This window comes from Homo sapiens, chromosome 7 (genome assembly GCF_000001405.40).
Source record: "Homo sapiens chromosome 7, GRCh38.p14 Primary Assembly".
NCBI lineage: Eukaryota > Metazoa > Chordata > Mammalia > Primates > Hominidae > Homo > Homo sapiens.
The window spans coordinates 56,026,205-56,050,713 of NC_000007.14; the positions used below are offsets into that span (position 1 = coordinate 56,026,205).

Genomic DNA, 24,509 nt, shown 5'->3' on the forward strand with positions numbered 1-24,509 from the left:
GTGGCTCACACTTGTAATCTCAGCACTTTGGGAGGCTGAAGCAGGAGGATCACTTGAGGTCAGGAGTTCGAGACCCGCCTGGCCAACATGGTGAAACCCCATCTCTACTAAAAATACAAAAATTAGCCGGGCATGGTGGCAGGCACCTGTAATCCCAGCTACTTGGGACGGAGAGGCGGGAGAACCGCTTGAATCTGGGAGGTGGAGACATGGAGATTGCAGTAAGCCGAGATTGCACCACTGCACTGCACTGCAGCCTGGGTGACAGAGCGAGACTCCATCTCAAAAAAAAAAAAAAAAAAAAAAGAACTCAACAAGGGCCAGCATGGTGGCTGATGCCTGTTCCCAGGACTTTGGGCAGCCAAGACAGGTGATTGCTTAAGGCTAGGAGTTTGAGACCAGCCTGGCCAACATGGTGAAACCCTGTCTCTATTAAAAAAAAAAAGATAAAAAATAAAAAGAAACCAGTCATTTGGCTTTGGTCCAGCAGAAATCAAGCTAATTCATACTACATGCCCAGGCAGGCTCACTGTAAAGACCTTGAAGTCAGCAGGTCTATCAGCAGAGTAGCAGCACTTACTGTAGTGCAAGTCCACTAAGAATGGAGAATGAACCATAGGTGAGTGAAGAGGAAGCCAGAAACAGACAAATGGTGTAAGAGGAGCTAAAATGAGGTAAGTGGGATAAGCTAAAGAACTTTTTAAGAAGGTACATGAGAAGGCCCGGCACGGTGGCTCATGCCTGTAATCCCAGCACTTTGGGAGGCTGAAGCGGGTGGATCACCTGAGGTTGGGAGTTCGAGACCAGCCTGACCAACATGGTGAAACCCCGTCTCTACTAAAAATACAAAATTAGCTGGGCATGGTGCTACATGCCTGTCATCCCAGCTACTCAGGAGGCTGAGGCAAGAGAATCGCTTGAACCCGGGAGGCAGAAGTTGCGGCGAGCCGAGATTGCGCTATTGCACCCCAGCCTGGGCAACAAGAGCAAAACTCTGTCTCAAAAACAAAAAAAAAAAAAAAAAGAAGATGCATGAGGCAACATAACATAACTAAGAATGGGCAATGCTCCTGAGAATGACTGATGGACACCAGAATCTCAAAGCCAGTCCCCAGGGACCCTGACACAAGACCCAAAGAGGAATGCATAATGCATGGGTGCCATCTTCAAGAGGTTTCCAGTCTTGTCGAAATGATTAGACAAATAATTACTGGCCATGTTTGAAAAACCAGTTACTTTGGCCGGGAGCGGTGGCTCACGCCTGTAATCCCAGCACTTTGGGAGGCCAAGGCAGGCGAATCACAAGGTCAGGAGTTCGAGACCACCCTGGCCAAAAGTACAAAAATTAGTCAGGTGCCTGTAATCCCAGCTACTCAGGATGCTGAGGCAGGAGAATTGCTTGAACGCGGGAGGTGGAGTTTGCAGTGAGCCGAGATCCCACCACTGCACTCCAGCCTGGATGACAAGAGCAAGACTCCATCTCAAAAAAAAAAAAAAAAAGGCCAACCAGGTACTTGAACCTCTTTCCAACCACTGACACTAGCAATAGTTTCAATGAGATTGGCCGAGTGCAGTGGCTCACACTTGTAATAATCCCAGCACTTTGGGAGGCTAAGACAGCAGGATCACTTGAGCCCAGGAGTTTGAGATCAGTTCTCGAGAACACAGTAAGATTCTTTCTCTAAAAAAAAAAAAAAAAAAAAAAAAAGTGGGGCATGGTGGTGCATGCCTGTGGTCCCAGATAGTCAAGAGCCTGTGGTGGGAGGATGGCTTGAGTCCAGGAGTTCAAGGGTGCAGTGAGGCCACAGCACTCCAGCCTGGGTGACAGAGTGAGACCCTGCCTCAAAAAAAAAAAAAAGCAAGACCATCAGCCTTGAGTTTGAAAGGAAAGGTACATTTCCTCCACTAAAAGTGAGAACTGATTTACACATCCCCAGCTGAACATTAGGCCTGACTTACAGCTCAGAATTGTTGACACCTGCCTCCTGGGTTGTAATGTGGTCCCAAGGAGAAAACAGAATATTTTTGGCTTTTTTTAGAGACAAGGTCTCACTCTGTTGCCCACACTGGAGTGCCAATGGTATAATCATAGCTCACTGTGGCCTCAACCTCCTAGGTGAAGTGATCCTCCTGCCTCAGCCTCCTGAGTAGCAGAGACCACAGGCACGCACCACCACACCCAGCTAAGTTACTATTATTATTATTTTTGTAGAGATGAGGTCTCACTATGTTACCCAGGCCGGTCTTGAATTCCTGGCCTCAAATGATCCTCCCATCTCAGCCTCCCAAAGTGCTGGGATTATAAGTGTAAGCCACCATGCTGGCCAAAATAGAATGTTAGAGACTCACTTTACATTGAATTTACTTGGAAGGCTGATTCTTTTTCCACACCCTCCCTAGGAGACTGAGCTGGATTTTAGGACCTTAACTCTGCCCATGAAACGGTCAGGCCAGGGGAGATGGCCTTCACCCATTGGGTTACAAGAGTATCAACTCCCTCCCTGCTTGATTGGGCAGCAGAGCAAACTCGGCCACAGCTCCTTTTAGCTCTTCCCATCCTGCTCTGCAAAATGGTGCACCTCCCTGTACACTTTTGATTTCCTCCTTCTTAATTTTTATTTTTACTTTTTTTGAGATGGGGTCTCACTCTGTTGCCCAGGATGGAGTGCAGTGATGTGATCTTGGCTCACTGCAACCTCCGCCTCCCAGGTTCAAGCGATTCTCCTGCCTCCTGAGTAGCTGGAATTACAGGCGCCTGCCACCACGCCTGGCTAATTCTTCTGTATTTTTAGTAGAGATGGGGTTTCACCATATTGGCCAGGCTGGTCTCAAACTCCTGACCTCAAGTGATTCACCTGCCTCGGCCTCCCAAAGTGCTGGGATGACAGGTGTGAGCCACCAAGCCTGGCCAATTTCCTCCTCTTTTCATTGTCTCCACCAGGAGTGACTCACAATCTATGCGTATTTAAAATTCTCGTGGCTATAGGGGGAAAAAGTCTGCTGAGTAAGGTCAGTTGCTTCAAAGTAAATTGTGTACATTAGAATTCCACACACAGAAAAATCATTGCCAGAGAATGGACTCTGGATTCTTCGTATTTGGCTCTAACAGGGAGGGAGAGGGCAGGGCCAGGGTAGAAGACATGCCGGTGGGAAGGTCTATTCTCAGATTCTCAGACACAGCAGCTCCCAGGTCCCATCCGGACCACTGCCTTCTGCAGCTCAGAACAGAACTTCTGCCTGGCTGGCCCCAGCTAGTTCATCTCTTGGCAAGCAAAGGACCAACTGATTAAAAAAAAAAAAAAAAAAAAAGCCACTGCTGACAAGGCCTTCTCATCCCTAGTTCCAAAGTACAAAAGCAAGCTTTCCTCCAGGGCCAGCCTTCGGAGGTCTGATTTTGGATAAGAGGAAAAATTTCCTTGCCCAAAGAAATGCTTTCCCAACTTCTCAATCTCTGTATCTTTCAAGAGGCTTCTAAGATCACCTTACTTCCTTCACCTTGTTAGGACTGACCTCTTATCTTCACCTGTGTAAGAAAAAATAAAAGCCTGTACAGAGTTGTGAAGGTCATGCATAGTTGCGAGAACCAAGCTTATTTGCTTTGGTAGTAGGGATAAATTTGTTCAGGTCCCCGGGCATTGAAAGAGTACAAAGTATAGCCGGGCGTGGGGAGGCTGAGGCAGGAGAATTGCTTGGACCTGGGAGGCAGAGGTTGCAGTGAGCCGAGATTGTGCCACACTGCAGTCTAGCCTGGGCGACAGAGCGAGACTCCATCTCAAAAAAAAAAAAAGAAAAAAAAAAAAAAGAATACACAGTAGATTCTGAAAAGGTTCTGAATCAGAGGAGAGTCAAAGAGGTTCCCTGTAACAAGGGCTGGGATCCCCAGCACATGCACTTACACTATATTTTATTTTATCTTTTGTTTAGAGATGGAGTCCTGCTCTGTCACTCAGGCCGGAGTGCAGTGGTATGATTTTGGCTCACTGCAATCTCTGCTTCCTGGGTTCAAGTGATTCTCATGCCTCAGCCTCCCGAATAGCTGGGATCAGAAGTGTGCGCCACCACACCCAGGTAATTTTTGTATTTTTAGTGGAGATGGGGTTTCACCATGTTGGACAGGCTAGTCTTGAACTCCTGACCTCAGGAGTTCTGCTCACCTCGGCCTCCCAAAGTGCTGGGAGCTCACCTCGGCCTCCCAAGGTGTGAGCCACCATGCCCGGCCTAAAAAAAAAAGCCAGCACAGCCATAAAAAAGAATGAAAACATGTCCTTTGCTGCAACACAGATGCAGCTGGAGGCCGTTATCCTAAGTGAATTAGCGCAGGAACAGAAAACCAAATACCACATGTTCTCACTTATAAGTGGGAGCTAAACTGGGTACATGAGGATACAAAGACGGGAAAAACACACAGTGATGGCCAGGTGCGGTGGCTCACAGCTGTAATCCCAGCACTTTGGGAGGCCAAGGCGGGCAACTCACTTGAGATCAAGAGTTCAAGACCAGCCTGGCCAACATGGTGAAATGCTGTCCCTATTAAATATACAAAAATTAGCCAGGCATGGTGGTGGGCACCTGTAATCCCAGCTACTCAGGAGGCTGAGGCAGGAGAATCACTTGAACCTTGGAGGTGGAGGTTGCAGTGAGCCGAGATCACACCATTGTACTCCAGCCTGGGTGACAGAGCGAGACTCTGTGAAAACAAAAAACAACAACAACAAAAAACTGAGGGGCCGGGCGCGGTGGCTCACGCCTGTAATCCCAGCACTTTGGGAGGCTGAGGCGGGTGGATCATGAGGTCAGGAGATCGAGACCATCCTGGCTAACAAGGTGAAACCCCGTCTCTACTAAAAATATAAAAAATTAGCCGGGCGCGGTGGCGGGCGCCTGTAGTCCCAGCTACTCGGGAGGCTGAGGCAGGAGAATGGCGTGAACCCGGGAAGCGGAGCTTGCAGTGAGCCGAGATTCCGCCACTGCAGTCCGCAGTCTGGCCTGGGCGACAGAGCGAGACTCCGTCTCAAAAAAAAAAAAAACAAACAAAACAAACAAACAAAAAAAACTGAGGACTACAAGAAGGCAGGGGAAGGAGGGCAAGGACTGAGAAACTACCTACTGGGTACTGCGCTCAAACCCTGGGTGATGGGATCAATTGTACCCCAAACTTCAGCATCATGTGATATACCCATGTAACAAACCTGCACATGTACTCCTTAAAGCTAAAATAAAAGTTGAAATGATATGTAATATAACCAGCTATTCTGGGAAGCTGAGATCTTCTGCATGCCACATAGTTGACATCAATTTTTAAAATTCAGGTGAGGAGTAAACTGCTGGCCGGGTGCAGTGGCTCACGCCTGTAATCCCAGTACTTTGGGAGGCCGAGGTGGATGGATGACCTGAGGTCAGGAGTTCGAGACCAGCCTGGCTAACATGGCAAAACCCTGTCTCTACTAAACATACGAAAATTAGCCAGGTGTGGTGGCCCACACCTGTAATCCCAACTACTCAGGAGGCTGAGACAGGAGATATCACTTGAACCCAGGAGGTGGAGGTTGCAGTAAGCCAAGATTGCGCCACTGCACTCCAGCCTAGGCGACAAAGCAAGACTCTGTCTCAAAAAAGAGTAAACTGCTAGCAGATAGACAAACGTGTAACAGTTCAATGCGTAAAAAACATTACAATGACAGCAAAAAACCAAAACAAAACCAAGAAAAGGCAAATCAGACTCACGTTTCTCCAGTGCTAGATTTCTAGGAGACGACACTCTTCTGTTCCTTCCCTAGATAAAAACGCAGCACAAAGTTCTGTCTACAGATTTCCTCAAGAAAGACCTGTGGATTCTGCAAGAGCAAGAGCCTAGAAAGAGAGAATGAGGAAATGAACATCGAAGTCCATACACAAAACAGGAAAGAGGGAGACTGGCTTCACTCTCTCTCCTGGCGGGACTGGCACAAAAATGGGTCAGAGGCAAAATTTCCTAAGACTGCTTCCTCTGGGAAATGCTTTACTCCTACCCACCTTCAAGCACTGTAGAGTCAACATACTCTTCTATGGCTTCAATTCTGCAAGGTTCAAGTCTGATAGGAAATCATGTACACCTGATTAGCAGGGTACAAAGACAAGGGAGAGGGAAAGAGAATCTCTTAGGAGAACTAAATGCAGAGACAAGGAAGCAGACTTGGGCGGGCATGATGGCTCACACCTGTAATCCCAGCACTTTGGGAGGCTAAGGCGGGCGGATCACGAGGTCAGATCAGGACCATCCTGGCTAACATGGCGAAACCACGTCTCTACCAAAAATACAAAAAAAATTTAGCCAGGCATGCTACTGGGCACCTGTAGTCCCAGCTACTCGGGAGGCTGAGGCAGGAGAATGGCATGAACCCAGGAGGCAGAGCTTGCAGTGAGCTGAGATCGTGCCACTGCACTTCAGCCTGGGTGACAGAGCGAGTCTCAAAAAAAAAAAAAAAGGCCGGGCATGGGGACTCACACCTGTAATCCCAGCACTTCGGGAGGCCGAGGAGGGAGGACTGCTTGAGCCCAGGAGTTCAAGATAAGCCTGGGCAACATAGTGAAATGCCATCTCCACAAAAAATAAAATAAATGAGCCAGGCATGGTGGTGCGTATTTGTAGTCCCAGCTACTTGGGAGGCTGAGGCAGGAGTTTGGGCTCAGGAGTTTGAGATTCCAATGAGCTATGATTGCACCGCTGCACTCTAGCCTGGGTGACCAAGTGAGACCCTGTCTCTTAAAAAAAAAAAAAAGAAGGAAGGAAAGGAGGGTAGGTATCAGGCATATATTAAATCATTTGAAAATTTTAAAAGTCCTGACTACTTTGTTTCACCGACATGAAAGTGACAGGGCTATATGGTCATGATATTGAAAACCTACCCGGCACGGTAATACAGAAATCTTGGATTTTATTATTTTCCTCCCTGATCCTCATTCCAATATCAGTCATCAAATATTTAAAAAGTAATAATATGCAAATCATACATAAAGAAAATATAGTGACCAGGTACAGTGGTCATGCCTGTAATCCCAGCACTTTGGGAGGCAGAGGTGGAGGCAGGTGGATCGCTTGAGGCCAGGAGTTTGAGACCAGCCTGGCTAACATGGTGAAACCCTGTCTCTACTAAAAATACAAAAATTAAAAAATTAGTTAGGCATGATGGTGGGTACCCAGATACTCAGGAGGCTGAGGCAGGAGAATCCCTTGAACCCTGTAGGCGGAGGTTGAAGTGAGCCGAGATCACACCACTGCACTCCAGCCTGGGCGACAGAACGAGACTCTGTCTGAAAAAAAAAAAAATAAATAAAAATAAAAAAAGAAAAGAAAATATAATAAATATATTTAATGAATGAAAGCATGATTTATTTAATTCCCAACTTAAGGCTGTATCGTTATAACAATGTATCTGGTAAGTACTTATTTTAAAATTCTAATTCTAATGGGAAAGAAGACAAAGTCGGACACTTCAACTCTGAGTTTGGGGATTGTTCCAATCTTGCACTAAGGGTGCTCCTGTGTAGGATTGCATCATTCATTCATGCTGTTTGGCAACAGGCAGCTGCTGTAAGATTAGACAAGTGAAGCTACCCAAAAAATAAATCAATGAAAAGAAAGCCTGGAGATTTTAGGAAATGATCTGCCTACGCGATTAAGAAGAAATGTAGACTCAGAGAGGAAGCCTGGAAGAGGAAAAGGAAAGTCGGCAAAATCTGAAAGTTGGGCGCAGGGAAGGCACAAGCCGGGACTTACCCTGTGTCCTGGGCCTCCGGGGCTCCTGCGGCTGCAACCTTCCGGCTGCAGGGGGCCAGCGCCGGCTCCGACGCTCGGGCGAGCAGTTCCCAGGGAGGTGAGCTGTGCAGACCCAGGGCCTCCACCGAACGCTCTCTTGAGATCTGCTGATAAGCGGGGTGGCTTCTGATGAGTTCTGCAAGTGCTTCTGTAAACTGGAGACACCAGATCTGTCTGCTCTGCAAAGCCGGGCTGGGAGGACGATTTGGCCCCGCCCCAGGGGAGGGGCTCCCTGAACCAGCCCCCTCCTCCTCCGGGGGCTCAGCCCCTGCAGTCTGAGAGGTGCACGGTGCCTGTGGCACCTCCGCTTTGCAGAGGAAAAGAGCTCCCGGACCTTCAGAAGCTGCTCCGCGCTGCCGCCACCACCACTTAGGATAAGGATAGGTGAGGGAAGCAAGGGACTGCTGCACTGATTTAGCAATTAGTGAAATCTCCGTCGGGGGGCCTCTTTTGAAATCCACGTTTGGCATTATACGCTTGCAGCAGTGTAGGTCCCAAAAGAACTTCAAAGACTACTTATATTCTTTTTTTTTTGAGACGGAGTCTCGCTCTGTCGCCTGGGCTGGAGTGCAGTGGCACGATCTCGGCTCACTGCAAGCTCCGCCTCCTGGATTCACGGTATTCTCCTGCCTCAGCCACCCAAGTAGCCGGGACTACGGGCGCCCGCCACCACGCCCGGCTAATTTTTTGTATTTTTTAATAGAGACGGGGTTTCACCGTGTTAGCCAGGATGGTCTCGATTTCCTGACCTCGTGATCCGCCCGCCTTGGCCTCCCAAAGTGCTGGGATTACAGGCGTGAGCCACCACGCCCGGCCAAGACTACTTATATTCTTAATTAAAATGCAACCATGAGTAACAAAATGAGAGTCTTTGCACCTTACTTTTATTTTTAATTTTTATTTATGTTTTTAAATAGAGATGGGGGGGGGTCTCACTGTGTTTCCCAGGCTGGGCTCAAACACCTGGGCTCAAGCGATCCTTCCTCCTTGGCCTCCCAAAGTGTTGGGATTACAGATGTGAGATACCGCGCCCGGCCTATTTCTTTTTAAAAATTTTCTGGCCAGGCGCGGTGGCTCAAGCATGTAATCCCAGCACTTTGGGAGGCTGAGGCAAGCGGATCACCTGAGGTCAGGAGTTCGAGACCAGCCTGGCCAACATGGCAAAACTCCATCTCCAGCAAAAATACAAAAATTAGCGGGGCATGGTGGTGCATGCCTGTAGTCCCGGCTACTTGGTAGGCTGAGGCAGGAGAATTGCTTGAACCCGGGTGGGGGGAGGAGGTTGCAGTGAACCAAGATCGTGCCACTGCACTACAGCCTGAGCAACAGAGTGAAACTCCGTTTAAAAAAAAAATTATTCCATGTGTCACTTGCCCAGCTCCTTGTATGTTAACTACAACAAATAAGGGGTGTTTCCCCCAAACATTTACCACTGGAGTTAGCTGGCTGGAGCTGGGCATTGAGATCCACTCAAAAACATAACCTGAAACCTCAAAGGCTGACAGTCTGCACTCCAGGCTCACTCTAAGATGCTCACCCACGCAGAGGATGCAATCCCTGGGGCAGGACACTTGGTCACAGCATCTCTACCCTTAGCTACAGGACCCTCCCCACCAAAACACAATTTTTTTTTCCCCCGAGACTGAGTCTCACTCTGTTGCCCAGGCTGGAGTGCAGTGGTGCTATCTCAGCTCATTGCAACCTCCGCCTCCTGGGTTCAAGCGATTCTCCTGCCTCAACCTCCCCAGTAGCTGGGATTACAAGCGCACACTACCGTGCCCAGCTAATTTTTGTATTTTTAGTAGAGATGGGGTTTCACCATGTTGGCCAGGCTGGTCTCAAACTCCTGACCTCAAATGATCTGCCCACCTCGGCCTCCCAAAGTGCTGGGATTACAGGCATGAGCCACCACGCCCAGCCTGCAGTAGTTTTTTAAAAAGCATAATAGGCCGGGCACCTTGGCTCACGCCTGTAATCTCAGCACTTTGGGAGGCCGAGGTGGGTGTATCATCTGAGGCCAGGAGTTCAAGACTAGCCTGGCTAACAAGTTGAAACCCCATCTCTACTACAAATATAAACATTAGCCTGGCATGGTGGTGCATGGATAATCCCAGCTACTCGGGAGGCTGAGGCAGAAGAATCGTTTGAACCTGGGAGGCAGAGGTTGCAGTGAGCTGAGATCATGCCACTGCACTCCAGCCTGGGCAACAGAGCGAGAATCCATCTCAAAAAAACCCACAAATAAACAAATAAAAAGCATAATAAAAGAAACAAAATGTTAAACACCAAATGTTTGTATCTAAGTGGTAACAGAATTTATTTTGTTTGAGGTGAAAAGAAACTCAAGTAAGTAAATGTGGAAGGCTAGAAGAGTTAACTTATGCTATTATTTGTATTTCATAAATGTTTAATATTAAGTATTCTTTAAAATATTAAATATTCTTAAAAATTTCAGATAAAATATTTATATTTACTAAAATCTGGCTGGGTGTGGTGGTGCATGCCTATAGTCCCAGCTACTTGGGAGGCTGAGGCGGGAGGATCATTTGAGCCCAGGATTTCGAGGTTACAGTGAGCCGTGATCATGCCACTGTACTCCAGTCTGGGTAACAGAGCAAGCCCTTGTCTCTGAAAAATTAATTAGTTAATTAATTAAAATCTGCCACCTCTTCATGGTCCTGGAATCCACCTCATACTCACACCTATATTGATACTTGTGAGCATGAGATGGCTGTATTGTAGACATTGTTTTGCTAGAGCACATCACATTAAAATATATATATATAGTTGCCTAGAAGACACTAATGAGTGGTCACATACAAGTGTAACAACCAGGAGGTAATCTTGCCAGACAAGGCAAAACTGTGAAACAGATTAAAATATGCTTCATCAGGCCGGGCACAGTGGCTCATGCCTGTAATCCCAGCACTTAGGGAGGCTGAGGCGGGAGGATCACCTGAGGTCAGGAGTTTGAGACCAGCCTGGCCAACATGGCGAAACCCCATCTCAACTAAAAATACAAAAAGTAGCCAGGCCTGATGGCAGGCGCCTGTAATCTCAGCTACTGAGGAGGCTGAAGCAGGAGAATCACTTGAACCCGGGAGGCAGAGGTTGCAGTGAACCGAGATTACACCACTGCACTCCAGCCTGTGTGACAAAGCCAGACTCTGTCTCAAAAAAAAAAAAAAAAAGCTTCATAGCTGTTCTTAGTGGAATGATAGGACATGTGAACCAAATACAATATAGCATAATGAAGACAAAGGCATAATTACTGGAATAATAGCACATAAGAACCAAATACAATACAGCATAATGAAGGTGTAATAAAAATATTAGCAAATTATTTTGCAAAGTTTTAATCACAATTGGTTAGTCAAAAGTAATACAGGTCATACTACTGTTCCGGAAAGGTTTTCTTTCCTTTTTTTTTTTTTCTTTTGAGGCAGGGTCTCACTGTAACCCAGGCTGAAGTGCAGTGGCACGATCATAGCTCACTGAAGCTTCGAACTCCTGGGCTCAAGCAATCTTCCTGCCTCAGCCTTCCGAGTAGGTTGGACCACAGGTGTGTGCCACCACACCAGGCTGGTTTTTGTTTAGTAGAGTCTGGGTCTCATTGGTCTCCAACTCCTGGGCTCAAGCCCAAGTGTGATCCACTTTACCCAGCTCTGAAAGGTTTTCTATAGATCACATTTTTGTAAGCTAACAAATTTTTTTTTTTTTTTTTTTTTTTTGAGATGGAGTCTTGCTCTGTCACCCAGGCTGGAGTGCAGTAGCGTGATCTTGGCTCTCTGCAACCTCTGCCTCCTGGGTTCAAGTGATTCTCCTGCCTCAGCCTCCCAAGTAGGTGGGATTACAAGCATGCACCACCATGCCCGGCTAATTTTTGTATTTTTAGTACAGACGGGGTTTCACCATGTTGGATAGGCTGGTCTTGAACCCCTGGCCTCAGGTGATCCACTCGCCTTGGCCTCCCAAAGTGCTGGGATTACAAGAGTGAGCCACCGTGCCCAGCCACAAATTTTCTCATGGCTAATTATATTAGAATCATGTACTCTTTTTATAAGTCATTCAGTGCTAATAGCCTTCTAAAGTATAGTAAATTGGAACAAGCCCTCCGGAAAACAATATGGTGTTATTCAGTAACATTGAACACATGCGGCCAGGTGCGGTGGCTCACACCTGTAATCCCAGCACTTTGGGAGGCCGAGGAGGGCAGATCACAAAGTCAGGAGATGGAAACCATCCTGGCTAACACGGTGAAACCCCGTCTCTACTAAAAATACAAAAAATACAAAAAAAAAAAAAAAAAATTAGCCGGGCGTAGTGGTGGGCGCCTGCAGTCCCAGCTACTTGGGAGGCTGAGGGAGGAGAATGGCATGAACCCAAGAGGCGGAGCTTGCAGTGAGCGGAGATCGCGCCACTGCACTCTAGCCTGGGCGATAAAGCGAGACTCCGTCTAAAAAACAAACAGACAAAAAACACTGAACACGTGCAATTTCTATGACCCAGCAATCCCACCTGAGGAAGACACTCAGGAGAAACTTGCATGAGTAAGCTGGGTGTGGTGCCTCATGCTTCTAATCCTAGCACTTTGGGAGGCCTAGGTGGGAGGATCGCTTGAGCCCAGGAGTTCAAGACCACCCTGGGCAACATACTAAGACCTAATCTGTACAAAAAATAAACAAAATTAGCTGGACGTGCACACACCTCGAGGCACACACCTCGAATCCCAGGTACTTGGGAGGCTGAGGTGGGAGGATGGCTTGAGCCTGGGAGGTTGAGGCTGTGCTAAGATCACGCCACTGCACTCCAGCCTGGGTGACAGAGTGAGACTCCGTCCCCCAAAAAAAAGAAAAAAATGAGGCTGGGTGCAGTGGCTCACACCTGTAATCACAGCACTTTGAGAGGCTGAGGCGGGCAGATCACCTGAGGTCAGGAGTTCAAGACCAGCCTGACCAACATGGAGAAACCCCGTCTCCACTAAAAATACAAAATTAGCTGGGTGTAGTGGTGCATACCTGTAATCCTAGTTACTCAGGAGGCCAAGGCAAGATAATCGCTTGAACCCGGGAGGCGGAACCCGGGAGGCGGAGACCTGTGATCATGCCATTGCATACCCGCCCGGGAAACAAGAACAAAACTCTGTCTCAAAAAAAAAAAAAAAAAAAATGACACATATATAAGAATTCTCACAGCAGTACTGTGAACATTCTCAGTTACTGTGATGCTCCAATAGCCACTGGAAACTTTAAAAAGAGACTATCATTTAATGTCATAAATGATAATTTACAACATAAAATTCAGGACAGTAGTTACTTCTGAAAGTAAGAAAGGAAATGAGATTGAGAAAAGGTATGTAGTTAATCAATGATATTATAATAATTTTCCTTTAAGTAGGATGGTAGGTATACGGATGCTTTTTATATCTGTGTGTATAAAATATTTGCTAACAATTGTAATATTTCTTATCAATACGTTAAATACCAATACATTGCTGGCCGGGCACGGTGGCTCACACCTGTAATCCCAGCACTTTGGGAGGCCAAGGCAGGCAGATCACGATGTCAGGAGATCGAGACCATCCTGGCCAACATGGTGAAAGCCCATCTCTACTAAAATACAAAAAATTAGCTGGGCATGGTAGTACGTGCCTGTAGTCCCACCTACTTGTGAGGCTGAAGCAGGGAAATCGCTTGAACCCAGGAAGTGGAGGTTGCAGTAAGCCGAGATTGCACCACTGCACTCCACCCTGGTGACAGAGAAAGACTCTGTCTCAAAAAAAAAAAAAAAAAAATTAAAAAAAAAAAAACAATATATGGCTGGGCGCAGTAGCTCACGCCTGTAATCCCAGCACTTTGGGAGGCCGAGGTGGGCGGATCACGAGGTCAGGAGATCGAGACCATCCTCGCTAACATGGTGAAACCCCGTATCTACTAAAAATACAAAAAAATTAGCTGGGCGTGGTGGCGGGCGCCTGTAGTCCCAGCTACTTGGGAGGCTGAGGCAGGAGAATGGCGTGAACCTGGGAGGCAGAGCTTGCAGTGAGCTGAGATCGTGCCACTGCACTCCAGCCTGGGTGACAGAGCAAGACTCCATCAAAAAAAAAAAAATACCAATACATTAAAATAATATAAATGTCTTGAAAGAACACAGTGAACACAGTTTGAAATGTGATTTAATATAAACATTGGCATTCAAAATAAGTCATACCATGGAAATATGCCCATGATATGTTCACATGAATAAAGGAAGTTGAAGAACGTATATATCGTTTGAGCCATTTTTGAACAAAGAAATCTCTATGTGTGTCTATATCCAGGTATGATATATGGTTATATATCTATGTCTATATATCTATATAAAAAAGGAAACATTATTCATTTATTTACTTATTTATTTTTATTTTTTTGGGACAGGGTCTGGCTCTGTCTCTGTCCAGGCTGGAGTTCCGTGGTGTAATCTCAACACACTACAATCTCTGCCTTCTGGGTTCAAGCGATGGGATTTTGGTGTGAGCTATTTTTAATCTTATAATGGAAAAAGTGGGAGAAATTTATATTACAAAGCGATATGATTATAGTATAAGAACTGTGGCAATATTTGACTGAATTGTCCCCTTCCTCCTCCTAGAAATTATGCAAAGTGATAGGGAGATATGGTGGTGAGGGGGGGAATGAGGCAGAAATCCCATATTCAACGAAACTAGAAGACAAAAAGTCACTGGAAACTCCAAGACCTGCACAAGGCCTACCAAAGTTACATGGGAAGAGGCACATGCAGATCCCGGAAAACACCAGCAAAAACAGACTCTCTGAAGATGAGCTGTTCATGACACAGTGCAAAAATGTGTTGTTTGAAACAAGCAGAGCAGAGCAGGGATACAAAGAACTGAGGGCAAGCCTCAATCAAGCAGAAAGGGAGTGGAAACCCTTGTAACCCAAGGGGTAAAGGGCATCTCTCCTGGCCTGAACATCTTATGGGCAGAGTTAAGGTCCCAACACCCAGCTCACCCTCCTAGGGAGGGCGTGGGAAAACAATCAGCCTTCCAAGTAAATTCAGTGTGTGTCTCCAACATTCTGTTTTGGCCAGCACAGAAGCTCACGCCTGTAATCCAAACACTTTGGGAGGCCAAGGCGAGAGGATTGCTTGAGCCCAGGAATGCAAGACCAGCTTGATTATCATAGCAAGACTCTATCTCTCTCTCTCTCTCTTTTTTTTTTTTTTTTTTTTTGAGACAGAATCTCGCTCTGTGGCCTAGGCTGGAGTGCAGTGGCACAATCTCAGCTCACTGCAACCTCTGCCTCCCAGGTTCAAGCGATTCTTCTGCCTCAGCCTCCCAAATAGCTGGGACCACAGGTGCCTGCCACCATGCCCAGCTAATTTTTGTATTTTTAGTAGAGATGGGGTTTCACCATGTTGGCCAGGATGGTCTCGATCTCTTGACCTTGTGATCTGCCCGCCTAGGCCTCCCGAAGTGCTGGGATTACAGGCATGAGCCACCTAGTCTGGCCTGGAGACAAGGTCTTTAAAGAGGCGATTATGTTAAAATGAGGTGTTCAGAGTGAGCCCTAATCTAATGTGACCGGTGTCCTTGTAAGAAGAGAAAATTTGGACATGGAGAGACATTAGAAACGTGTGAGTGCGCCGGGCACGGTGGCTCACACTTGTAATCCCAGCACTTTGGGAGGCCGAGGTGGGCAGATCACTTGAGACCAGGAGTTCAAGACCAGCTGGGGCAACATGGCAAAACCCTGTCTCTAATAAAAATACAAAAATTAGCCCGGTGTGGTAGTGCATGCCTGCAATCCCAGCTATTCGTGAGGCTGAGGCAGGAGAACTGCTTGAACTGGGAGGCAGAGGTTGCAGTCAGCTGAGATTGTGCCACTGGCACTCTAGCCTGGGCAACAGAGCGAGACTCTGTCTCAAAAAAAAAAAGATCTGGACCGGGCGCAGTGGCTCATGCCTGTAATCCCAGCACTTTGGGTGGCCGAGGCTGGTGGATCACCTGAGGTCAGGAGTTCGAGACCAGCCTGGCCAACAGGGTGAAACCTCGTCTCTACTAAAACTACAAAAATTACCAGGGTGTGGTGTCGTGCACCTGTAATCCCAGCTACTTGGGAGGCTGAAGCAGGAGAATCGCTTGAATCCGGGAGGCGGAGGTTTACAGTGAGCCAAGATCCCTACACTCCAGCCTGGGCGACAGAGCGAGATTCTGTCTCAAAAAAAAAAAAAAAAAAATCTGTCTGAAAAAAAACTTAATGAATTATTTCCAAGAAGGACAAACAAAAATACAAATATAGAGATTCATGGAAAACATGACAAAATAAGGCAAGACAAAACTGACAAAATCCAGGAAAGAAGCAGAAGGGAGCCGGGCACAGTGACTCACACCTGTAATCTCAGCAATCTGGGAGGCCAAAGCAGAAGGATTGCTTGAGGCCAGGAGTTCAAGACCAGCACAGGCAACAAACTGAAGCACTGTCTCTACAAAACATCAAAAAATTATCCAGGTGTGGTGACGAGTGCTTGTGGTCCCAGCTACACAGGAGGCTGAGGCAGGAGGAAAGCTTGAGCCCAGGAGGTTGAGGCTGCAGTGAGACATGTTCGTGCCACTGCACTCCAGCTTCGGCAACAGAGTGGGACCCTGTCTCAGAAGGAAAAAAAAAAAAAAAAGGATGTAGAAGGAAAACACATAACTATCACACTGGGCATGGTGGCACATGCCTATAATGCCAACTACTCAGGAGGCTGAGGCAGGAGGATCACTTGAGCCTAGGCGTTCAGATCCAACCTAGGAAACATATTGAGACACCATCTCCAAAAAACAGGTAAAATAACCATCACAGAAGTGAATATGAAGCTAAAAAGAGGACAAATAAAAGTGGACACTATGAAAAATATATTAACCAATATGGATGATAAAAATGAGAAAAGCAAATCATATAAACAAAAGGAATTAAATGAAATTAGAGAAAAAATGATAGTTGGCGGGGTGCAGTGGCTCACGCTTGTAATCCCAGCACTTTGGGAGGCCAAGGTTGGTGGATCACCTGAGGTCGGGAGTTCAAGACCACCCTGGCCAACATGGTGAAACCTGTCTCTACTAAAAATACAAAAATTAGAATTTGTGAGGCGAGGTGGTGCATACCTGTAATCCCAGCTAGGAGGCTGCGGCATGAAAATTGCTTGAACTTGGGAAGGGGAGGTTGCAGTGAGCTGAGATGGCACCATTGCACTCCAGCCTGGGCGATAGAGTGAGACTCTATCTCAAAAAAAAAAAGACAGCTGTAGAGGACAGACCAAAGAAAGCCAACATGCACAATTGAAATTTTCAACGAAGATAACCCAAACATTAGAACAAATAAGTATTTAACTGGGTGTGGTGACTTGAACCTGTAATCCCAGCTACTAGGTAGGCTGAGGTAGGAGGATCACATGAGGCCAGGAGTTCAAGGCTAGCCTCAGCAACAGAGTAAGACCCCATATCTCTAAAAATAAATAAATAAATAAATAAATAAATATTTAAAGATATAGAGGCTGGGCGTGGTGGCTCATGCCTGTAATCCTAGCACTTTGGGAGGCCAAGGTAGGAGGATCACTGGAGGTCAGGAGTTCGAGACCAGCCTGGGCAACATGAGACCACCCCTCCCCCCACCCACCCCAACCCCTGTCTCTACAATAAAACAAAAAAAATTCACTGGGCGTGGTGGCGCACACCTGTTGGGAGGCTAAGGTGGGAGGATAGCTTGAGCCCCAGGGTGGAAGCTGCAGTGAGCTGTGATCATGCCACTGCACTCCAGCCTGAGCAACAGAGCAAGACCCTGTCTCAAAAAAACAAATGAATAAAGTTATGAGCCAGCGATTTTTTTGTTTTAAAACAAGCCAAGCCATCATTCACACACAAAGGCTACAAACGATAGTTTTGAACATACAGGAATTCTGGGGATATTTTTCCCATGAGAATATTTTTTTTTTGAGATGGAGTTTCGTCTTGTTGCCCAGGCTGAAGTGCAATGGCGCGATCTTGGTGCACCGCAACTGTCGCCTCGTAGGTTCAAGTGATTCTCCTGCCTCAGCCTCCCGTGTAGCTGGGAATACACGCCTGGCTAATTTTGTATTTTTAGTAGAGACGGGGTTTCTCCATGTTGGTAAGGCTGGTCTTGAACTCCTGACCTCAGGTGGTCTGTCCACCTTGGCCTCACAAAGTGCTGGGATTACAGGCATGAGCCACTGTGCCTGGTCTTGCATGGGAATATTTTTCTTGAGGACACTGCTAATGAATAAACATTACTCACCAATGGATAGCAAAGGGAACTTCAGCAAAGGGACAAGCAAGAGCATTGAGTGTACATCATTGCAAAACTAAGACTAAATAAACCCAGGTTTGGGGGAGAAAAAACAGAATGTAAACGTTACCTACTCTGACAATACAGAAATGATGCAATAGAAAAATTAGGAGGACAAAGATTATGGAATAAATGAAGTAGGGTGAGTTTTTGCAGGCTGTTTCATCTATAATAACCGAGAGTTAAAAGATTATTTAAATCACATTTAATTAACAGTGTAAGAATAATATTAAGAAAAACAATATTGCTGGCTGAAATCAGATAATAGGTCAATCATGGTGGCTGACACCTGTAATCCCAGCACTTTGGGAGGCTGAGGCAGGAGGATCGCTTGAGGCTAGCTACTTGGGAGGCTGAGGTGGGAGGATCACTTGAGCCCAGGAGTTAAAAGCTGCAGTGAGCTAATGATTGTGCCGCTGCACTTTATTTAGCCTAGGTGACACAGTGAGACTGGAAAAAAAAAGGGCCAGGTGTGGTGGCTCATGCTTGTAATCCAGGCAGGCAGATCACTTGAGGTTAGGAGTTTGAGACCAGCCTGACCAACATGGAGAAACCCCATCTCTACTAAAATACAAAATTAGCTGGGCATGCTGGTGCATGCCTGTAATCCCAGCTACTCGGGAGGCTGAGGCAGGACAATCGCTTGAACTCGGGAGGTGGAGATTGCAGTGAGCTGAGATCGTGCCATTGCACTCCAGCCTGGGCAACAAGAGTGAAACTCTGCCTCAAAAAAAAAAAAAAAAAAATAGAATTCTTGAATCCATACTGATACAAATTCATTCATTCAGTCAGTCATTCATGGAGGAGAAGGGAAAGTTCTTCCTTACAGCAGAATTTCAACCAATAAATGTATAATGAATGATGAAAGCAGAAAATTGGCCAGGTGCAGTGGCTCACTCCTGTAATCCTAGCAATTTGGTAGGCCAAAGTGGGAGGATCACTTGAGGCCAGGAGTTCAAGACCAGCCTGAGCAACATAGCTTTTCAGAGAACTTGTCTCTGCAAAAAAATTAGCCAGGCATGATGGTGGATCACTTGAGCCCAGAAGGTCGAGGTTGCAGTAAGCAGTGATTGCGCCACTGCACTCCAGCCTGGGCACCAGAGTGAGACTCTATCTCTTAAAAATATATAAAAGAAAAAATTAATAGAAAATTACCACTTGCAAATGGTTAGGTCTGAGATTTGACTTTACCCTACTTACAAACTAATACGTTAGTCTCTTGCTTGTTTTATGGATGTGGCCTAAGAAAGAAGACTCCTGGCCAGGCGCGGTGGCTCCAGGCCTGTAATCCCAGGACTTTGGGAGGCCGAGGCAGGTGGATCATGAGGTCAGGATATCGAGACCATCCTGGCCAACATGGTGAAACCCCACCTCTACTAAAAATACAAAAATTAGCTGGGTGTGGTGGTGCATGCCTATAGTCCCAGCTACTCAGGAGGTTGAGGCAAGGAGAATCGCTTAAACCCAGGAAGCAGAAGCTGCAATGAGCCAAGATCATGCCACTGCACTCTAGCCTGGGTGACAGAGCAAGACTTTGTCTCAAAAAAAAAAAAAAAAAAGAAAGAAACAAGTCTCCTGTGTCAGAGACAAAGAACTTTATTGCTTACAGCACAGCAAGCAGTGTGGGCAGTAGGATATTTGCATCAGTTCCCCTTTCCCTCCAACTTCCATGGGGTAACACAATGTGGCCCAGATGGATGCCTCAAAGATGGTGGGTTTGGATCACAGCTAAGGAACACTCAGCTCGGGGAATCTATTGCTTTTGTTGTTGTTGTTTTATTGGTTTTTATTATTTATTTATTATTTTTTAGAGATAAAGTTTCACTCGTCGCCCAGGCTGGAGTGCAATGGCGCTATTTTGGCCCACTGCAACCTCTGCTTCCTGGGTTCAAGCTATTCTCCTGCCTCAGCCTCCTGAGTAGCTGGGATTACAGGAATGCACCATCATGCCTGGCTAATTGTGTATTTTTTTAGTAGAGACGGGGTTTCTCCATGATGGTCAGGCTGGTCTCGAACTCCTGACCTCAGGTGATCTGCCCACCTCGGTGTTTTATTGTTTTATTTTTGTAGAGATGGGGTCTCACCATGTTGTCTAGGCTGGTCTTGAACTCCTGGCCTCAAAGGATCCTCCCACGTTGGCCTTCCAAAGTGCTGGGATGGCTTTGCACGGTGGCTTACACCTGTAATCCCAGGACTTTGGGAGGCCGAGGGGGCAAATCACCTGAAGTCAAGGGTTCGAGACCAGCCTGGCCAACATGGTGAAGCCCTGTCTCTACAAACATACACAAATTAGCTGGGCATGGTGGCGGGAGCCTGTAGTCCCAGCTACTCAAGAGGTTGAGGCAGGAGAATCACTTGAACCCAGAAGGTGGAGGTTGCAGTGAGCCGGTATCGCACCACTACACTCCAGCCTGGGCAACAGAGTGAGAATGAGCAGAGTGAGACTCCACCTCAAAAAAAAAAAAAAAAAAAGGGCTAGGATTATAGACATCAGCCACTACACCCAGCTGAAATCTATTGTTTTCATACCAAGTAGTGAGTGGGCAAGCCTGCTCTTTGTCCAGGAAGAAACATTAACTTGTCTCTGAAGATTAGCAACTGTATAAACAACCCTGAGAAAAGCCCCAGATAAAGAGCATTCTTGGGCCTTGCATTCTTGGCACACACAGCAAGACATGTAAGCACACAACAGATCCATGGAGGACTTTCAATACAAAGATCACAGTAATAATTGTTTCAGGCAAAAATTATTGATGGGCTGGGTACAGTGGCTCACGCCTGTAACCCCAGCACTTTGGGAGGCTGAGGCAGGAGGACTGCTTGAGCCCAGAAGTTTGAAACTCACCCAGACAACATAGCATGACCTTCTCTCTACAAAAAAAAAAAAAAGTTTTAAATTAGCCAGCCATAGTGGTGCACGTCTGTAGTCTCAGCTACTCAGGAGGCTGAGATAGGAAGCTGAGCCCAGGAGGTTCAGGCTGCAGTAAGCTGTGTGATTGAGCTACTGCACTCCAGCCTGGGCGACAGGGTGAGACCCTGTCTCAAAAAAAAAAAAAGAAAAAATGGATGCTTAAATTAGTAGGCATTGTTATGATGAAAAACAGAACAGTCACATATTTTCCCATAAGATGCTTATTAAATGCTTATTAAATACAAAGAAAAACTACTAACTTTAAAGTAGAGCAATCTGGCAAATATTAACCAAGTGAACAAAGTTAACATCACCAGGAATGAGAAAAACTGACATCATGTGACTCTTCCTATAATGCCTTGAAAAGGACACGTTAATTTCTCTGGTGTTCTTGCCAAAAATGAATAACCTGCTTTTTTTTTTTTTTTTGATAAGAGCCTCGCTCTGTCACCCAGGCTGGAGTGCAGTGGCGTGATCTTGACTCACTGCAATCTCCACCTCCTGGGTTCAAGTGATTCTCCTGCCTCAGCCTACTGAGTAACTGGGATTACAGGCGTGCACCACCATGCCCAGTTAATTTTTTGTATTTTTAGTAGAGACGGTGTTGCACCATGTTGGCCAGGATGGTCTTGATCTCTTGACCTCACGATCCGCCGGCCTTGGCCTCCCAAAGTGCTGGGATTACAGTTGTGAGCCACTGTGCCCGGCCATAATCTGTATTTAAACATAAGGAAACATCAGGCCAGGCGTGGTGGCTCATGCCTGTAATCCCGGCACTTTGGGAGGCCAAGGCAGGCAGATCACCTGAGGTCAGGAGTTCAAAACCAGCCTGGCTAACATGGTGAAACCCCATTTCTACTAAAAGTACAAAAATTAGCCCGGCATGGTGGTGGGTGCCTGTAATCCCAGCTACTCTGGAGGCTGAGGCAGGAGAATCACTTGAACCCGAGGAGGCGGAGGCTGCAGTGAGCAGAGATCATGCCACTGCACTCCAGCCTGGGCAAAAGAGCAACACTCTGTCTTTAAAAAATTTGAAAAAAAAAAAAAAAATCATAAGGAAACATCAAATAACCCTAAAGTAAGGGACAGTCTGTAAAATAACTGGCCAGTATTCAAAAAAATGCCAAGATCATTAAAGACTGAAAAATTGCAGAACTGTTCCAGACTGAAGAACATGACAACTAAATGTGAAATGTAATTTTGGATAAATAGAATCCTGGGCCAGAGATAGAAGATTCATGACATAATTAGCAAAATTTGAATGAAATCTATAGATTGGATCCGGCATCACTGTAATTTCTTATTCCTGGGTTAAATGTGATGTTTACACTGGGGGATCTGTGGGTAGAGTATGGGAATTCTTCTTACTGTTTTTTACAAATTCCTTCCATTTTTGAGACAAGGTCTCACTCTGTCGCCGAGACTGGGAGTGCAGTGCTGTGATTCTGGCTCACTGCAACCTCCGCCTCCTGGGTTCAAGCAATTCCACCTCAGCCACACAAGTAGCTGGGATTACAGGCGTGTGCCACCACACCTGGCTTTTTTTTTTTTTTTTGCTTTAAGTTCAGGGATATATGTGCAGAATGAGCAGTTTTGTTAGATAGGTATACATATCCCATGGTGGTTTGCTGCACCCTTCAACCCATCCTCTAGGGTTTTTTTGGTGGTTGTTTTTTTCTTTGAGACAGAGTCTCACTGTGTCACCCAGGCTGGAGTGCAGTGGCTCCATCTCGGCTCACTGCAAGCTCCGCCTCTTGGATTCATGCCATTCTCTCACCTCAGCCTTCCCAGTAGCTGGAACTACACGCACCCGCCACCATGCCCAGCTAATTTTTTTTTTTGTATTTTTAGTAGAGACGAGGTTTCACCGTGTTAGCCAGGATAGTGTCGATCTCCTGACCTTGTGATCTGCCCGCCTCGGCCTCCCAAAGTGCTGGGATTACAGGCATAAGCCACTGCGTCCAGCCCCCATCCTCTAAGTTTTAAACCCTGCTTGCATTAGGTATTTGTCTTAATGCTCTCCCTCCCCTTGCTCCCACCCCCTGACAGGTCCCAGTGTGTGATGTTCCCCTCCCTGTACAGACCCATGGGAAATGTTTCAAAAGTGAGAACTTCTTATACATGTTATTTAAATTGTTTTTTCCCCTTATCAAGAACACCTATTTATGTATTTAATATGCTTCCATCAGATGTCGCCTGGGAGACAAGTCTCGCTGTTGTTGCCCAGGCTGGAGTGCAGTAATGCAGTCTCCGCTCACTGCAATCTCCAACTCCCAGGTTTAAGTGATTCTCCCGCCTCAGCCTCCCGAGGAACTGGGATTACAGGCAGCCGCCACCATGCCCAGCTAATTTTTGTATTTTTAGTAGAGACGGGTTTCACTATGTTGGCCAGGCTGGTCTCGAACTCCTGACCTCAGGTGATCCACCCGCTTCTGCCTCCCAAAGTGCTGGGATTACAGGTGTGAATCACTGTACCTGGCCTTTATTATTATTATTATTTTTTTTGAGGAATCTCGCTCTGTTGCCCAGGCTGGAGTGCAGTGACATGATCTCGGCTCACTGCAACCTCTGCTTCCTGAGTTCAAGCAATTCTCATGCCTCAGCCTCCCAAGTAGCTTGGATCACAGATGCACACCACCAGGCCAGGCTGATGTATTTTTACAGAGACGGGGTTTCACCATGTTGGCCAGGATGGTCTTGAACTCCTGACCTCAAGTGATCCGCCCACCTCGGCTTCCCAAAGTACTGGGATTACAAGCGTGCGCCACCATGCTTGGCCTCCTCATAACATTTTTAACAGCAGTTATAATAAATCCGCATGCACACCGTGTAATGCCTATGGAACTAATAACTAGTCTTCTATCGTGCAGTGCTACTAGTCACATATATAGATGTTTTTGTGATTCTCAAATACACAAACCCACCTAAGAGCATCATATACCCAGATATTCACTGCAGTCTGAATAGCAGACTGTGAACAACTTAAACATCAGTCAGTAGGTGACCGGTTAGTTGTGTCATTCTTTTTGAGAAAGGGTCAGCTCCGTAGCCCAGGCTGAAGTGCAGTGGCAAGATCATAGCTGACTGCAACCTCCACCTCCCAGATTCCAGCAATCCTCCCACCTCAGCCTCCCAAGTAGCTGGGATCACAGACGTGCACCACCACGCCTGGCTAATTTTTGTATTTGTTGTATAGATGGAGTCTCGCTATGTTACCCAGACTGGTCTTGAACTCCCGGGCACAAGTGATGCCCCCGCCTCATCCTCCCAAAGTGCTGGGATTACAGGCGTGAGCCACCCAGCCCTGGCCCCTAGTTGAGTCATTCTTACAAAGAACATCACGCTGCTGTTACCGAGGACTTCCCATTAGTCTTGATATGGCACAATCTCCAAGACACTTAAAGTATAACACACCCTGCAGTGTGTATTATGAATTGCCATTTGTGTGGGGAAATGA

The 24,509-nt window shown here is 46.6% G+C and overlaps 1 protein-coding gene across 36 annotated transcripts in view, besides 2 other annotated features; it reads right to left on the reverse strand.

Annotated features, from left to right (window-relative positions):
• The window catches only part of PSPH (phosphoserine phosphatase), a 40,381-nt gene that overhangs the window by 15,141 nt on the left and 731 nt on the right, over positions 1-24,509 (reverse strand). For 3 of the 36 annotated variants that reach the window (NM_001370514.1, XM_047420652.1, NM_004577.4), the window contains exons 2-3: positions 7,757-7,902; positions 5,725-5,850 (exon numbers count right to left, since the gene is read on the reverse strand). The gene's annotated coding sequence lies outside the window, so the exon portion shown is untranslated. Of the gene's footprint in view, positions 1-4,569; positions 4,688-5,724; positions 5,851-6,012; positions 7,291-7,756; positions 7,951-16,186; positions 16,440-16,943; positions 17,058-24,509 lie in introns of all 36 variants that reach the window. The other 33 variants (XM_006715761.3, NM_001370503.1, XM_047420654.1 and 30 more) reach the window with 26 other exon arrangements.
• Positions 7,565-7,784: an enhancer, noted in NCBI's record as "active region_26046". NCBI's record gives its function as "activates an Ori minimal core promoter by ATAC-STARR-seq in GM12878 lymphoblastoid cells {active_cell/tissue: GM12878}" and the evidence as "EXISTENCE:reporter gene assay evidence [ECO:0000049][PMID:35858748]".
• Positions 24,236-24,295: an enhancer, noted in NCBI's record as "active region_26047". NCBI's record gives its function as "activates an Ori minimal core promoter by ATAC-STARR-seq in GM12878 lymphoblastoid cells {active_cell/tissue: GM12878}" and the evidence as "EXISTENCE:reporter gene assay evidence [ECO:0000049][PMID:35858748]".